The sequence below is a fragment of the Homo sapiens genome, chromosome 4 (genome assembly GCF_000001405.40).
Source record: "Homo sapiens chromosome 4, GRCh38.p14 Primary Assembly".
Lineage (NCBI taxonomy): Eukaryota > Metazoa > Chordata > Mammalia > Primates > Hominidae > Homo > Homo sapiens.
In genome coordinates, this window is record NC_000004.12 from 164,936,071 (window position 1) to 164,952,692 (window position 16,622).

At 43.0% G+C, this 16,622-nt stretch overlaps 3 pseudogenes, besides 2 other annotated features; 2 read left to right on the top strand and 1 right to left on the bottom strand.

The window, feature by feature from the left end:
• Positions 53-362: an enhancer, noted in NCBI's record as "active region_22109". NCBI's record gives its function as "activates an Ori minimal core promoter by ATAC-STARR-seq in GM12878 lymphoblastoid cells {active_cell/tissue: GM12878}" and the evidence as "EXISTENCE:reporter gene assay evidence [ECO:0000049][PMID:35858748]".
• Positions 403-452: an enhancer, noted in NCBI's record as "active region_22110". NCBI's record gives its function as "activates an Ori minimal core promoter by ATAC-STARR-seq in GM12878 lymphoblastoid cells {active_cell/tissue: GM12878}" and the evidence as "EXISTENCE:reporter gene assay evidence [ECO:0000049][PMID:35858748]".
• LOC391710 (tripartite motif-containing 75 pseudogene) lies at positions 3,263-3,920 on the bottom strand (annotated as a pseudogene).
• NACA3P (NACA family member 3, pseudogene) lies at positions 7,181-7,970 on the top strand (annotated as a pseudogene).
• On the top strand, positions 12,024-13,323 carry LOC391711 (tripartite motif-containing protein 60-like; annotated as a pseudogene).

A 16,622-nucleotide genomic window follows, 5' to 3' on the forward strand; every position in this document is an offset into this window, starting at 1 on the left:
ACAGGGCAGGGAGTTTCACAACGTTCTTCTATACAATGTCTGGAATCTATAAATAACATCAGTTTCTAAGTTATGAGTTGATTTTTAACTACTGGGTTTAGGCCAGGCAGGCCCAGGCCTGGTTTTGGGCCTGGCCTCGGGTTGCCTGTCTTTGGTTTTACTTCCTTGTTGTTTTTTCTTAAAACAGGTACTGAGTATAAAACAATATAAAACAATATGAGAGGGTCTCTCTCTTCCCTAATTGCCATTTTGGCCAAGCTGGTCTTCAACTCCTGGCCTCAAGTGATCTGCCTGCCTAGGCCTCCCAAAGTGCTGAGATTACAGGCATGAGCCACTGCACTCAGCAGCTCCACCTCTGCTCTTTAGCCATGTCAGGAACAGCGTTTCTCCCTCCAGAGGCTGCAGCATTGAAGGCACCATCTTGGAAGCAGAGACCAGGCACTCACCTGACACCAAACCTGTCACTGCCTTGATCTTGAGCTTCCCAACTTCCAGAACGGTGAGAAATTAATTTCTCTTCTTTATAGATTACCAAATCTCAGGCATTCTCTCAAATCAGAACAAAATGGATTAACATAAGTAATTGTAATTTTCAACTAATGCTCAATCTCCAAATAGTGACTTCTTGCTTCACACAAGTGACCACCAAATGAGCCCGTATATGGCACAGGATACAATTTTTCCCCTATGTGCTCTATAGAACAGGCACCAGTTTGGAGGTGAGACACACGAACAATTGGTCACAAATTAGAGTTCCCCCTGAACTTACATCAGTCACAGCTTATGTTAGAATCTAGAAACACACCATGGAAAATTTAGGAAAGGCAGTGATTCTTATAGTTAAGATAAGGGATACCTCTTTTACCTTCATTTTATGATTAGTAATGTCACTAAGGTAATAGAGGGCTCTTCATTTAAAATCAGAGGGATCCCTGGTTACCTAATTGGAGGCAAAGGATTAAGTCTGCGAAGGTTTTCCAATTGATGCATTTCAACAGATGTTGAAGTTCAGTCACCATCCAGGTTACAGAAACAGAAAAGTCAATTAGCACCTTTTAAGCTTTTGTGTTGTACAGATTCTTTTGGTGAATTTTGCATATTCAACTGGTAATTGCAAATTAGGAATTTCTGTTGCAGTTTTTGTTGTTGTTCCTCTCCTTGAATCTGTGATTTGGTTTTATTTTTCTTTTTATTCCCTGTCTCTCTGACGTTCATGTCCATTGTTTTTTATTCTTTTTTTTTTTTTTTTGGAGACATTCAATACATTTTAGGGGTTATTCCTTTTAATGTGATTATGCTTTGACAATACATAATAATTTAACGTGATTATTGTCTAGGACAATACTGATTGTAACAGCTTGTGAAGAAGGTTCAATAGAGAAATAAGGCATAAACTTTTCTGTAAACTTATCAGTGGAATTATACACAGAGGATCTGTTTTTTAAATTATAAAAGACACAGCAATATGTCTGGACGGAGATGCACCACTCAAGGAGACAGTAAAAGGGACCTGAGTCCATGTTCCTATACTTAACTAACAAAATATTATCTAAATTACTGACCTAGGTCAGAGAATTCTCTCAAAGAGTCTCAGCCAAACTCAGTAAAAGCAGCACAAAGCAGCTGAGCTGAAAGTGCAGGCTCATCATGTGGCACAGAGCCAGTGAGCAAAGCAAAGCTAGAACAGCAATTCCCTGAAGGTGGCAGCCAACATCTGGATAATCCTGCTCACAATGGCCTTTGAAGGGGTCAGTTTGCATAGATAGTTTGCATTGAAGGGGTCAGTTTGCACCCTCCCTGACAACTGGTTCAGTGTTGAGACTGCTGATGCCACACAATCCAAGATTGTATGAAATGGACTCCTACTCCTGTAATGAGGTTTATGAGGAGAGAAGGGTGTCTACAGAGTTGATGCAAAAGTGACTTGAGAAAGCAGGGAAAGGAGACTGGTTTGGGGTTGTGATGGTGGTCATGGGTGGGGCTGCTGAAAGGGTCCTGCACTACCAGAGGCTTGCTAGGTCTGAACCTCCCACCTACACCAACAGAGGGAGCACCCAGGCTTTCTCATCAGCTTGTCCAGGGAGGGCAGAAGGGAAGAGAGAAGAGTGAGTCCCCCAATAATATCAGCAGTCAAACATAAACATGGAATCAGAACTTTTATTACAAATGCCCTCCAAGAACACAGGAAGAAAATATAGCTACATACAAAGGGTGCTCTAAGTAGTTCATCATTGGTCTATGACAATGTGATTGTAACAGCTTGTGAAGAAGGTGCAATAGAGAAATAAGGCATAAGCTTTTCTGTAAACTTACCAGTGAAAGTATACACATATGATCTGGTATTTAAATTATAAAAGGAAACTTCTCCCAACTCATAGTCCAGAAAAATGCCAACTTGCAGGACTTCTGTGTTCCTTGTACTGCATGAACTACGGAATGGCTGAATTTGCCAGCACCCCATCTGTGGAGTTGGTGATGTAAGACCATCTCTGGGAAACATTTCTTTACACACACCAAGGAACCATGTACCTTTGCTCTCACTTCTACTTGCCAAAAGTGTCTCCCAGCATCAAATCCCTCACAGCTTCAGACAGCTGGGTAAAAACTAAATGACTGAAGATTATCAGTAAAGTGTGGGTTCATCATTCTAAATATCACACTTTCTGTCTCTTGAGATAATAAGACTAGGGTGGGCTGTTTCTGGATCTAGTGTCAAATCTTCCTGAAATGGGCTCATCATTTTTTTCAGGCCAAAATAAGGTGGAGAGAGACTCAAACTCTCCTTCCTTGATTCCTATGAGAAGACTGCAGGGGTTTTCAGGTGGTCATATGTGTTGTAGCTGTTCTCAATACCTGTCAGCATATCCAGGTCTGCCTGAAAACTCTTCTCTGTTACTTCATTTAAGAGATTCTGTAGGCTGGGCGCGGTGGCTCACGCCTGTAATCCAAGCACTTTGGGAGGCAGAGGCGGGCAGATCATGAGGTCAGGAGATCGAGACCAGCCTGGCTAACACAGTGAAACCCCGTCTCTACTAAAAATACCAAAAATTAGCCGGGCAGGGTGGCGGGCGCCTATAGTCCCAGCTACTCGGGAGGCTGAGGCAGGAGAATGGCGTGAACCCTGGAGGCGGAGCTTGCAGTGAGCCAAGATTGAGCCACTGCACTCCAGCCTGGGCGACATAGCGAGACTCCGTCTCAAAAAAAAAAAAAAAAAAAAAAACAGATTCTGTAGTGTGGATAAGTGGCCTGAAATTTGTCTTTGGTTTTCAGTGAGTTTTTCTTTAGCATCCTTCTCTTCAATAAGTAGCCTGGCATGAATTACAGCTCGTTCCTTTACCAAGAAAGACTTAATTTCTTTAAATTCAAATTGTAATTCCTTCCTCCATGTTGCCATCTTCCTTTTCACATTAAGTGATCTCAAAATTGGGACTTCACACCGCATCTTGGCATGTTCAGTTTCCTTCTTTAGTGGCTTAATGTAGCTTTTGAGCTTCCTTCTGTGTGTAGCTGCAGCTTGCTCAATGGGCAACAAGGGATGATCCTGATGGTCAGAGGAGACCTTGCACTGGGGACACAATAGCTCCAGGTCCTTCTCACAGAGCAGGACTAGACCCTGACTGTGCTTCTCACAGAGGGGCTCCTCTTCCTGCCATTCCCTCTTGCTCGTCACGGTGAGAAGCTGCTGAACCATATCAGTCATGTGGCGCAACTGGGTGTTTGCTCCTGAGGTTCTCATCAGGGCAGTGACGGAGGCAGACAGGACAGGGGAGGACATCCTGTAAGTCTTCCCAGCACTGGTGGATGCAGGAGCGACAGAAGTTGTGCCCACAGTGAGTGGTGACTGGGTCCTTCATGTAATCCAGGCACATGGGGCAGCTGGCCTCTGCTTGGAGCTCAGCCAGAGAGGCTGCAAAGGCCATGGTGCAGGGAGGGATCTGTGTGGGGAGACTCCCTGCAGAAGGTGTGATTCTCCAGGAAGGAGGGAAAGTGAGAAGCTGGTGCCTCCTCAGCGTTCTGTCTCCTGCAAGCACTTCACAAGCTTGTGTCTGCTTCTTTCCCTTTGGCTCCAGAAGCAGCTCCAGGGGGAGGCAGGTCCCAGGGCACTGGCTGATCCCGTGACCCTGGATCCTCCTTTACTCAAATTCAAGCTACGCTCTTTTGTCGTGTTTCTCAGGAAGGGCCACAATTACAAGAGGTGATGGGAACTAATGACCATGTAAAATACTCCAGACTGTGAGACTTTCAACAGAACAGTAAGGCAGTTTCTTCAACTACAAAAGGAGAAAAAAGAATAAGATACTAAAGCACTGAAGAGCATGTATATCAATGAAAATAACTGCCTAATAATTTTCCTTACTTCTACATAAACACTTCTAAAAATAAAGTCCATTGAACTAGAAGAAATCTCATAAGTATTCACTAGTTATGATTTCTGATAATGATATTATGAGCTTACTATTTAAAAGAGGCTCTATATTTTAGACATTCATAGTGCAGTATTTACCCATAAGATTATATGTGATCCTGTGTTTGCTTCAAAGTATTGCAAAGTATAGGGATAAGGATATAAATCTGTAAGTGGATACACAGGGTTTGTTGTACTAATTTTGCTACTATTCTATACACTTTAGATGTTCTCAAGTAGAAAACATTATTGAAAAGGCTGACAGCCTGGACAACATGGTGACATGCTATCTCTATGAAAATAATGCAAAAAGTAGCCAGGCATAGTGGCACACACCTGTGGTCCAAGCTACTGGGGAGGCTCTGGTAGGAGGATCAATTGACCCTGTGAGGTTGAGGCAGAAATGAGCAGTTCGTGTGCCACTGGACTCTAGCCTAGGCAACAGAGCAAGATTCTGTCTAAAATGAAATGAAATGAAATAAAAAGCTGAGCCTTATTGTCTCTGTGTCACTGTCTTCAAGCCAGACCCTCTTCTCTCTTACTCTCTTTTCTGAGCCTCATCTTTCACTTCTGCTACATCTCAAAGCTCTAAAATCCCTTGTGGGCAGGGCATGGTGGCTCACGCCTCTAATGCCAGCACTTTGGCAGGCCGAGGTGAGTGGATCACCTGAAGTCAGAAGCTTGAGGCCAGCCTGGCCAACATGGTGAAACCCAGTCTACTAAAAATACAAAAATTAGCTGGACATGGTGGTGGGCGCCTGTAATCCCATCTACTTGGGAGGCTGAAGCAGGAGGATCGCTTGAACCCAGGAGGCCTACAGTAATCAAAATAGCACGGTACTGGTACCAAAACAGACATATAGACCAATGGAACAGGACAGAGACCTCAGAAATAATACCACAAATCTACAACCATCTGATCTTTGACAAACCTGACAAAAACAAGCAACGGGAAAAGGATCCTCTATTTAATAAATGGTGGCTGGGCACAGTGGCTCATGCCTGTAATCCCAGTACTTTGGGAGGCCAAGGTGGGTGGATCACCTGAGGTCAGGAGTTCGAGACCAGCCTGGCCAACACGGTGAAATTCCGTCTCTACTAAAAATACAAAAATTAGCCAGGCATGGGGGTGCGTGCCTGTAGTCCCAGGTACTTGGGAGGCTGAGGCAGGAGAATCGCTTGAAACTGGGAGATGAAGTTTGCAGTGAGCCGAGATCGTGCCACTGCACTCCAGTCTCAGCAACAAGAGTGAAACTCCATCTCAAAAATAAAAATAAAAATAAATGGTGCTGGGAAAACTGGCTAACCATATGCAGAAAACTGAAACTGGACCCCTTTCTTATACCTTATACAAAAATTAACTCAAGATGGGTTAAAGGCTTAAATGTGACACCCCAAACTATAAAAACCCTTAAAAAAAAAAAAAACCTAAGCAATAACATTCAGAACATAGGCACGGACAAAGACTTCATGACAAAAATGCCAAAAGCAATTGCAACAAAAGCCAAAATTGACAAATGGGATCTAATTAAACTAAAGAGCTTCTGCACAGAATAAACAACAACAACAAAAACTATTATCAGAGCGAACAGATGACCTACAGAATGGGAGAAAATTTCTGCAATCTACCCACTGACAAAGGTCTAATATCCAGAATCTATGAGGAACTTAAACAAATTTACAAGAAAAACACAACCCCATCAAAAATTGGGCGAAGAATATGAATAGACACTTCTCAAAAGAAGACATTTATGCCACCAACAAACATATGAAAAAAAGCTCAACATCACTGGTCATTAGAGAAATCCAAATCAAAACCACAATGAGATACCATCTCACACCAGTCAGAATGGCCCATTTAAAAAGAAATAATAGATGCTGGCAAGGCTATGGAGAAATAGGAATGCTTTTACACTGTTGGTTGGAATGTAAATTAGTTCAACCATTGTGGAAGACAGTGTAGACTAGATCTTCAAGGATCTAGTACTAGAAATACCATTTGACTCATCAATCCCATTAGTGGGCATATACCCAGAAAAATAGAAATCATTCTATTATAAAGATACATGCACGCATATGTTTATTGCAGCACTATTTACAATAGCAAAGACATGGAACCAACCCAAATACCCATCAATGATAGACTGGACAAAGAAAATGTGGTATATTGCTGGGTGCGGTGGCTCACACCTATAATACTAGCACTTCGGGAGGCCGAGGTGGGTGGATCATGAGGTGAGGAGTTCGAGACCAGCCTGGCCAACATGGTGAAACCACGTCTCTGCTAAAAGTACAAAAATTAGCCAGGTGTGGTGGCGGGTGCCCGTAATCCCAGCTACTCTGAAGGCTGAGGCAGGAGAATCGCTTGAACCCAGAATGCAGAGTTTGCAGTGAGCAGAAATCACGACACTGCACTCCAGCCTGGGCGAAAGAGTGAAAATCCGTAAAAAAAAATAAAAAAAGAAAAGAAAGAAAATGCGCTACATATACACAATGGAATACTATGCAGCCATTAAAAGGAATGGGATCATGTCCTTTGCAGGGACATGGATGAAGCTAGAAGCCATCATCCTCAGCAAACTAACACAGGAACAGAAAACCAAACACCACATATTCTCAATCAAAAGTGGGAGTTGAACAATGAGAACACATGGACACAGGAGGGGAACAACACACATCAGGGCCAGTCAGGGGGTGAGGGGCAAGCAAAGGGAGAACATTAGGACAAATACCTAATTCATACGGGGCTTAAAACCTAGATGATTGGCTCACTCTCTTTCTGCCACCATCTTGGTTCCTCGTTCCCTGCACAAAATGCCCTGTGAAGCCACAGAAACCGTCCCTGCTACAGAGCAGGAGTTGCCGCAGCCGCAGGCTGAGACAGGGTCTGGAACAGAATCTGACAGTGATGAATCAGTACCAGAGCCTGAAGAACAGGATTCCACCCAGACGTCCACACAAGAAGCCCAGCTGGTGGCAGCAGCTGAAATTGATGAAGAGCCAGTCAGTAAAGCAAAACAGATTTGGAGTGAAAAGAAGGCACAGAAGGCTATGTCCAAACTGGGTCTTCGACAGGTTACAGGAGTCACTAGAGTCGCTATCCGGAAATCTAAGAATATCCTTTTTGTCATCACAAAACCAAATGTCTGCAAGAGCCCTGCTTTGGATACCTACATAGTTTCTGGGGAAGCCAAGATCGAAGATTTATCTGAGCAAGCACAACTAGCAGCTGCTGAGAAATTCAATGTTCAAGGTGAAGCTGTCTCAAACATTCAAGAAAACACACAAACTCCAACTGTACAAAAGGAGAGTGAAGAAGAAGAGGTCGATGAAACAGGTGTAGAAGTTAAGGACATAGAATTGGTCATGTCACAAGCAAATGTGTGGAGAGCAAAGGCAGTCCATGCCCTGAAGAACAACAGTAATGATATTGTAAGTGCCATTATGGAATTAACAATGTAACCATCTGAAAGCAACTTTTCTTGGTGTCTCAAAGGAGTAACTGCAGCTTGGTTTGAAATTTGTACTGTTTCTATCATAAATAAAGTTATGGCTTCTTGTTGGAAAAAAAAAACCTAGATGATGGGTTGATAGGTGTAGGAAACCACCATAGCACGTGTACACCTATGTAACAAACCTGCATATTTTGCACTTGTAACCCGGAACTTAAAGTAAAATAAAATTAAAGAAAAGAAAGAAAGAAAGTTATCAGAAGTGTTTTGATGGTGACACAAAAGGGTATACAGGATGCTATGGGAGGATGGAGAAGTGATAGAAGAGTCAACAACTTTGGATGAATTACCCATTCTAGGACTCACTTTCTTCTGCTTTGTATAGGAGGCAATTATCACTACTTCTCAGTTCTAATGCATAGGTTCCATTGAATGTTTAGGTGAAGTAGTGCATGAATCATGGTTAATAATGAAGTAATGCTAGCTGTTCTCTAGGAACAAACCAGAGGGCCAAGTATATTGTGGGAAACAACCTAGAAGACTGGATGCCCTACAGGTGGTTCAGAACATCCATTTCATTTATAGTACTTCCTGTAGAAGATTTTCCTTAAATTTGGTAATCCATTTTAAAGTAGCCTGAAGTATATATAGTGATATAGGACAAAAACGAATGGCGGGCAGCTGTAGAATATGCAAGTAGCTTCTATTTGTAGGTTAACAAGGAGTGTTCTATACATAACCCCTACTCATATAAATGCCCGGCGGGGTGGGGGAGGGGTTGTATATGCCTAGACCATTTGGGAACATTTACAAGAAGCCATTGAGAGCAATTATCATTTGGAAGGCAAATAGATGACAGCAAGGCACTGTGTAACTATTTTGCCAAGTAGGGTGTTCTCTCCTATACAGCACACATATTTACTCTTTAAAATATTTCCATCAAATCCTTCTGCAGTGTATGTGTTTGTGCTCCTGACAAAAGAATATTCGTATTCTCTCCTTTTAGTAAATGGAGTCCCATGAAGAGGAGGCCACGCCATCATTGCATTGCTTTTCTCTCTTTCCTCTGCACTGCAGCTTCCTGCCGCTGAGGAGGGTACCATATCCCTGTGTGCCAGGCTTTCCGTCAGAGTCCATAGACAGCTAGCACTCGAAGAATATGTGAGCAAATATCTGTCAGTGAATGGGATGACAGGCAGACACTGTGTATATTAATACAAAGATCCTAACTCAGATGGGGTCTGACTTGGACATTGTCCCCATGCAGATAGTAGCTGAAACCATTTGCTATGGATGACATTGCCAAGGATCTCACAAACTGCCAGAGTCACCAGGGAGATTTCTTTTAACTATAACCCAGGTACCGCACAGGAAACGTCTGAATCATCCCACCTAGGGAAGCCTACTCTACAGCTGCCCGGCACTGCCCAGACATAGCGCCTCCACTCTCCACACTCCTACAAAGCCCCCACCTACAGAATGAGCAGATAGCATATAAATGTCTCTGCCAGCAGTTTGTCTGCTATGTCTGAGACTGTGGAGGCTGAAAATGCTGGAATGAGTTTGGGAATACAGAAAACAAAGAGGCAAGGACCGACTCTGGAAGCACTTCCTTCAAGGGACAAAGAGAATTAAAACTGCCTGAGAAGGAAAAGGCCAACGTTAGCCAACAAATCCTACATCTGCCTGCCTGAGAAAAACAAGACGAAAATATTTCCAATATTCAATTAACCCAGGACCAAATCACTGATTAAGTTAGAGGAGTTTCAATGGACTACTGAGAGACAAGGAAATCCAATCTTCCACTTTTAGTCTCCTCACGTTCTCCTCACTCACCACATCTCCCAGGCTGAAAATGCAATCAGAGAAGAAGGTGGGAAATGTTCATCAGAGCCGGTCGTTGGCCAGACGCTAATTGCATCCAGAGTCTGTCCAATAAGGGAACAGAAAGGAAACTCTCCACAGGCTTATAAGCTCTGAAGGCGCCAGATTCAGAACTCTCGGGTGGATGGAGAGGCTGTGCTGTGTTGCTGTTCTGACCTGGACCAAGACGGACACGACTGACCTGCAAGACAGGAGCAGCCATTCTTAGTTGGCAGTGGTGCTGAGAGAATCACCCCAACATCTGGAAATTTAAGGGCTGCTCCTGAATACTCACAGAGTCTGGACCCAAGTGGGGATTTGATATCAGGAAAGCGCCCCTCCGACCACAGGTGCAGGTGAGCAGAGACTCGGGGAAGGAGCAGGCGCCGTGGGCCACGTTATGCGTTGGGGAAGACCTCGGAGGCTCAGGCTGCGCATGGAGCAATCCTGCGAGGACTTCTCCTCACAGTCCATGAGGACGAAAATGGGTGGAATAGGAGGCTACATTGGACACCCTGGACAAAATGGCGACACTCCGACACACCAGGGTGGAATAGGAGGCTATATTGAGGAAGTGCTTAGGAAATTCACTTTGCAGAGACCTAGCCAGTGGAGTAGATAAGGTAGGCGAGGTCAGAGGAGGATGCAATAGTTGAGAGCGAGGGGGAAGGACCAGTTGTGCTTGTGGTCAGCGACCCCAAAATATTAGAACTTGAAACCATAATGCCTGGCCTTGCTCTTGCCACTAATTTAGTTCGTCTGAACTTGGGAGATTTGTGTGGCCATAGAGGAGTCAGGCCTGGAAGCCAGATGGAGTTGGAGTAGAAAAAGAATGTGGGGGAGATTTGTGTGAAGTGTGAAGAAGAAAGAGGAGGACACAAGGGATTTTATTTATTTATTTATAAATAAATGCAGTTTCACTCTTGTTGCCCAGGCTGTAGCACAATGGCAGCCTCTCAGCTCACTGCAAGCTCTGCTTCCCAGGTTCAAGTGATCCTCCTGCCTCAGCCTCCCAAGTAGATGGGATTACAGGTGCCTGCCACCACTCCTAGCTAATTTTTGTATTTTTAGTAGAGACCCGGTTTCACCATGTTGGCCAGGCTGGTCTCAAACTTCCGACCTCAGGTGATCTTCCCACCTCGGCCTGCCAAGTTCTGGGATTACAGGCGTGAGCCACTGTGCCCTGCCCACAAGGGATTTTAGAGTTTCTAGATATAGCAGAAGTGAAAGATGAGGTTCAAAAATGAGAGTAAGAGAGAAGCTGGTCTGGCTTGGGGACAATGACAGAGAGACAATAAGACTCAGCTTTTTGTTTTATTTTATTTTATTTTATTTCATTCTATTTTAGACAGGATCATGCTCTGTTGTCAAGGCTAGAGTCCAGTGGCACACTAACCGCTCACTGCAGCCTCAACCTCACGGTCTCAATTGATCCTCCTACCAGAGCCTCCCTAGTAGCTTGGACTACAGGTGTGTGCCACTATGCCTGGCTAATTTTTTTTTTTTTCATAGACATGGAGTGTCGCCATTTTGTCCAGGCTATCAGCCTTTTCAATATCGTTTTCTACTGGAGAACATCTAAAGTATATAAAATAGTAGCAAAATTAGTGCAACAAACACTGTGTATCCACTTATAAATTTATATCCCAATCCCTATACTTTGCAATAGTTTGAAGCAAACCCAGGATCACATATAATCTTATGGGTAAATACTGTACTACGAGTGTCTGAAATATAGAGCCTCTTTCAAATATTAAGCTCATAATATCATTATCAGAAATCATAACTAGTGAATACTTACGAGATTGCCTCTATCTCAATGGACTTTATTTTTAGAAGTGTTTATATAGAAATAAGGAAAATTATTAGGTAGTTATTTTCATTGATATACATGCTCTTCAGTGCTTTAGTATCTTATTCTTTTTTCTCCTTTTGAAGTTGAAGAAAACTGCTTTATTGTTCTGTTGAAAGTCTCAGTTGGGAGTATTTTACATGGTCATTAGTTTCCATCACCTCTTGTAATTGTGGCCCTTGCTGAGAAAGACAAAGAAAGAGTCCAGCTTGAATTTGAGTAAAGGAGGATCTGGTGCCAAGGGGTCGGCAGGTGCCCTGTGACCTGCCTCCCCCTGGAGCTGCTTCTAGAGCCAAAGGGAAAGAAGCAGACACAGGCTTGTGAAGTGCTTGCAGGAGACAGAACGCTGAGGAGGCACCAGCTTCTCACTTTCCCTCCTTCCTGGAGAATCACACCTTCTGCAGGGAGTCTCCCCACACAGATCCCTCCCTGCACCATGGCCTTTGCAGCCTCTCTGGCTGAGCTCCAAGCAGAGGCCAGCTGCCCCATCTGCCTGGATTACATGAAGGACCACTCATTGTGGGCACAACTTCTGTCGCTCCTGCATCCACAAGTGCTGGGAAGACCTACAAGATGTCCTCCCCTGTCCTGTCTGCCTCCGTCACTGCCCTGATGAGAACCTCAGGAGCAACACCCAGTTGTGCCACATGACTGATATGGTTCAGCAGCTTCTTACCATGAGAAGCAAGAGGAAATGGCAGGAAGAGGAGCCCCTGTGTGGGAAGCACAGTCAGCGTCTGGCTCTGTTCTGTGAGAAGGGCCTGGAGCTGTTGTGTCCCCAGTGCAGGGTCTCCTCTGACCACCAGTATCACCGCCTGATGCCCATTGAGCAAGCTGCAGCCAGAAACAGGAGAAAGCTCGAAAGCTACATTAAGCCACTAAAGAAGGAAACTGAACATGCCAAGATGCGGTGTGAAGTCCCAATTTTGAGTTCTCTTAATGTGAAAAGGAAGATGGCAACATGGAGGAAGGAATTACAATCTGAATTTAAAGAAATTAAATATTTCTTGGTAAAGAAACAAGCTGCAGTTCATGCAAGATTACTTACTGAAGAGAAGGATGATAAAGAAAAACTCACTGAAAACCGAAGACAAATTTCAGACCACTTATCCACACTACAGAATCTCTTAAATGAAGTAACAGAGAAGTGTTTTCGGGCAGACCTGGATGTGCTGACAGGTGTTGAGAACACCTACAACACATATGACAACCTGAAAACCCCTGCAGTCTTCTCATACAAATTAAAGAAGGAGAGTTTGAGTTTCCCTCCACATTATTTTGGCCTGCAAAGAATTATAAGCACATTTCAAGAAGATTTGATGCTAGATCCAGAAACAGCCCACCCTAGTCTTATTATCTCAAGAGATAGAAAAAATGTGATATTTAGGATGAGGAAGCCACACTTTACTGATAATCCTCCGTCATTTAGTTTTTACCCAGCTGTCTGGAGCTGTGAGGGCTTTGATGCTGGGAGACACTTTTGGCAAGTAGAAGTGAGAGGCACAGGTGCATGCTCCCTTGGTGGGTGTAAAGAAACATTTCCCAGAGATGGTCTTACATCACCAACTCCACAGATGGGGTGCTGGCAAATTTGACCATTCTGTAGTTCATGTAGTACAAGGAATACGGAAGTCCTGCAAATTGGCGTTTTTCTGGACTATGAATTGGGAGAAGTTTCATTTTATAATTTAAAAACCAGATCATATGTTTACACTTTCACTACGTTTACAGAAAAGCTTATGCTTTATTTCTCTATTGCACCTTTTTCACAAGCTGTTATAATCATATTGTCATAGGCTAATGATGAACTACTTAGAGCACCCTTTGTATGTGGCTATCTTTTCTTCCTGTGTTCTTAGAGGGCATTTGTAAATGAAGCTTCTTATTCTATGTGTATGTTTGACTGCTGGTATTTTTGGGGGGACTCACTCTTCTCTCTTCCCTTCTGCCCACCCTGGGCAAGCTGATGAGAAAGCCTTGGGTGCTCCCTCTGTTGGTGCAGGTGGGAAGTTCAGACCTAGCAAGCCCCTGGTAGTGAAGGACCCTCTCAGTAGCCCCACCCATGACCACCATCACAACCCCAAACCTGTCTCCTTTCCCTGCTTTCTCAAGTCATTTTTGGACCAACTGTGTAGACACCCTGCTCTCCCCATAAACCTCATTACATGAGTAAGAATCCATTTCACACAATCTTGGAGGTGTGGCATTAGCATTAGCAGTCTCAACACTGAACCAAATTGTATGCAAACTGACCCCTACAATGGGCATTGTGAGCAGGATTATCCAGATGTTGGCTGCCACCTTCAGGGAATTGCTGTTTTAGCTTTGCTTTGCTCACTGGCTCTGTGCCCCATGACAAGCCTGAACTTTCAGCTCAGCTGCTTTGTGCTGCTTTTATTGAGTTCGGCTGAGGCTCTTTGAGAGATTTCTCTGACCTAGGTCAGTAATTTAGATAATATTTTGGTATTTAAGAACAGGAATATGGACTCAGATCCCTTTTAATGTCTCCCTGAGTCATGCATCTCAGTCCAGACATATTGCTGTGTCTTTTATAATTTAAAAAACAAATTCTGTGTGTATACTTTCACTGATATGTTTACAGAAAAGTTATTTATCTATTGAAACTTCTTCACAAGCTGTTACAATCGGTATTGTCATGGACAATAATCACGTTAAATGATTATTATGTATTGTCAAAGCATAATCACATTAAAAGGAACAACCCATAAAGTGTATTGCATGTCTACAAAAAAAGAATAAAAAATAATGGACATGAAAGTCAGAGAAATCAGGAATAAAGAGAAAGAAAGATAAAACCAAACTATAGATTCAAGGAGAGGATCAAAAAAAAAAAAAAAAAACTGGAACAGAAGTTCCTAATTTGCAATTTCCAGTTGAATATGCAAAATTTATCAAAAGAATCTGCACAACACAGAAGATTTAATGGTGCTGGTTGACTTTTCCTTCTCTATAACTTGGATGGTGATTGAACCTCAGCATCTGTTGAAATGAATCAGTTGGAAAACTCATAGATGTAATCCTTTGCCTCTAATTAGTTAACCAGGGATCCCTCTGATTTTAAATGATGAAGCCTCTATTACCTTAGTGATGTTACTGAACATAAAATGGAGATAAAAGAGGTATCCCTTAACTATGAGAATCACTGGTTTCCCTAAATTTTCCATGATCAGAGCACACACTGGGATGATATATCAAAGAGAAAAAAAGAGATAGGATAAGTAATAAATGCAATTACATTAAGTCTTCTGAATTTTCAAACTAGCTTTACAAAATGGGATCCAAAGGATGTTCCTGACCCCAGTGAAAAAAAGATAATATGACTAAATATTAGCTAAAATAGGATACTCAAGAATTGAAACCCATGATACAAGACCTAGGAGTGATTATCTCACTGTTTCTGGGTTCAACCCCAATTTTGTGTGTTGTTACACTTTGAAACAAGTATGACATCTCAGAGTGAATTGATAACAGCTTTAATCGGATGATCTCTCCCAATGTTATTGACATGATTTACTCCATCCAATCAGCAAGTGGTAAATATCTGGCTACTAAAGATTTGGCTAGTTTTTTTCAGGCCTATTTCTACAGCTTCCTGGCCATGCTTTCCCTTTACCTCAAAGGAATTTTATGCATCTCTACCCACTAATCGTGGGCACCTCAGCAGTCTTGCCTTTGCACACAGACCTTGTAGGGAAGATTCCAACTTCATTCAACTTCTTCCAGAACAGCAGGTATGATTTACATGGATGACATTCTCCTCCATGGTGATCCATTTGAAACACTCATTCAAGCCATGAAAATACTCACAAAAGAGTTTACACAAAGGGAATGGGTCATTTCCCCCATACAGTGCAAGCCTCTTATTCGATTAATTGCCTGAAAATTATTTGGTAAACTGAAAGCAACTCCATCTCTGACACTGTGGAGAAACAGCTATAAAACCTTTCAATGCCCACAATGTGAAAACAAGCCCAGTATCTTTAACACTTTTTGGATTCTGGAGGAAACATACTCATCATTTATAAATTTTGCTTAAGGTCACTTATGCTGTTACTTCCAAATCCACCCATCTTTAATGGGGCCCCCTCCACGAAAGGCCTACAGACTCTAAATTGTAGTACATTAAGCTCTCACAGGCACTGAGCCTCTAACTCTTCATACTCAGTTGCTCAGCATGCCTTGGATTCTAGAAGCAGCACCCTGCTAGTTCAGCACAGGTATAGGAGGAATCCTTGTTACATCATAGAGCCAGACGCAGGCCCTCTGCCATATTTCATCCACAGGAAGGGGTAGCCTGCCTACCTTGTCCTTAGTCCCTGCCACATGCCACTGGGTTTAGGAGATGGCTCCTCTCTTAGGTCCTTTGGCTACCTGAGAGACCTCCCCCTCACACCTCCGGGATCAAATGATAAACAGCAGTGGGGGTTTATACACTGTAAGGATGGCATAACCATTGCCATGCATGATGAGCTCAGTAGGGATTTACTACTTTTCATTTATTAATCAGGACATTCTTAACAAGCAAAAGGACTCCAAGGTCAGTCAATGGATGGAACTTCAGGCCATCTTCTCAGAATTGGAGCCCCTGACCAATGATCAGCCCAATATGCAGTTTTACTAACTATGGAGCCATAGCCTTGGAGTTACCTGCTTCAGAGTAAAGAATTCTTGCCTCACAAATATCCAAAATCTAACTCAAGGTCACACATTTCTCTATATACACTAAGGCCACAATACGAAACCTCAACAGGATCTGGAACTCCTTTGGAGTTCCAGACATTACTGAGAGGGACCAAAGACTCATTTCACTTCCCAGAATATGCAATGCTGGGGTCCTGAAGAAGGCATTCAATGGAATTGTAACTTCCCTTACTAGATTAAGCTGTCAGCTTCATTAAGCACCATAAAGGCTTACTCAAACAAGTTCAAATTCAATGAAATGAAACATGGTGCATCTAATCAACAGTTAAACATCAGGGTGTGGGGGAATCCTACAAAATAGTTCAAATCCATTTTTACAGTTTTTCAC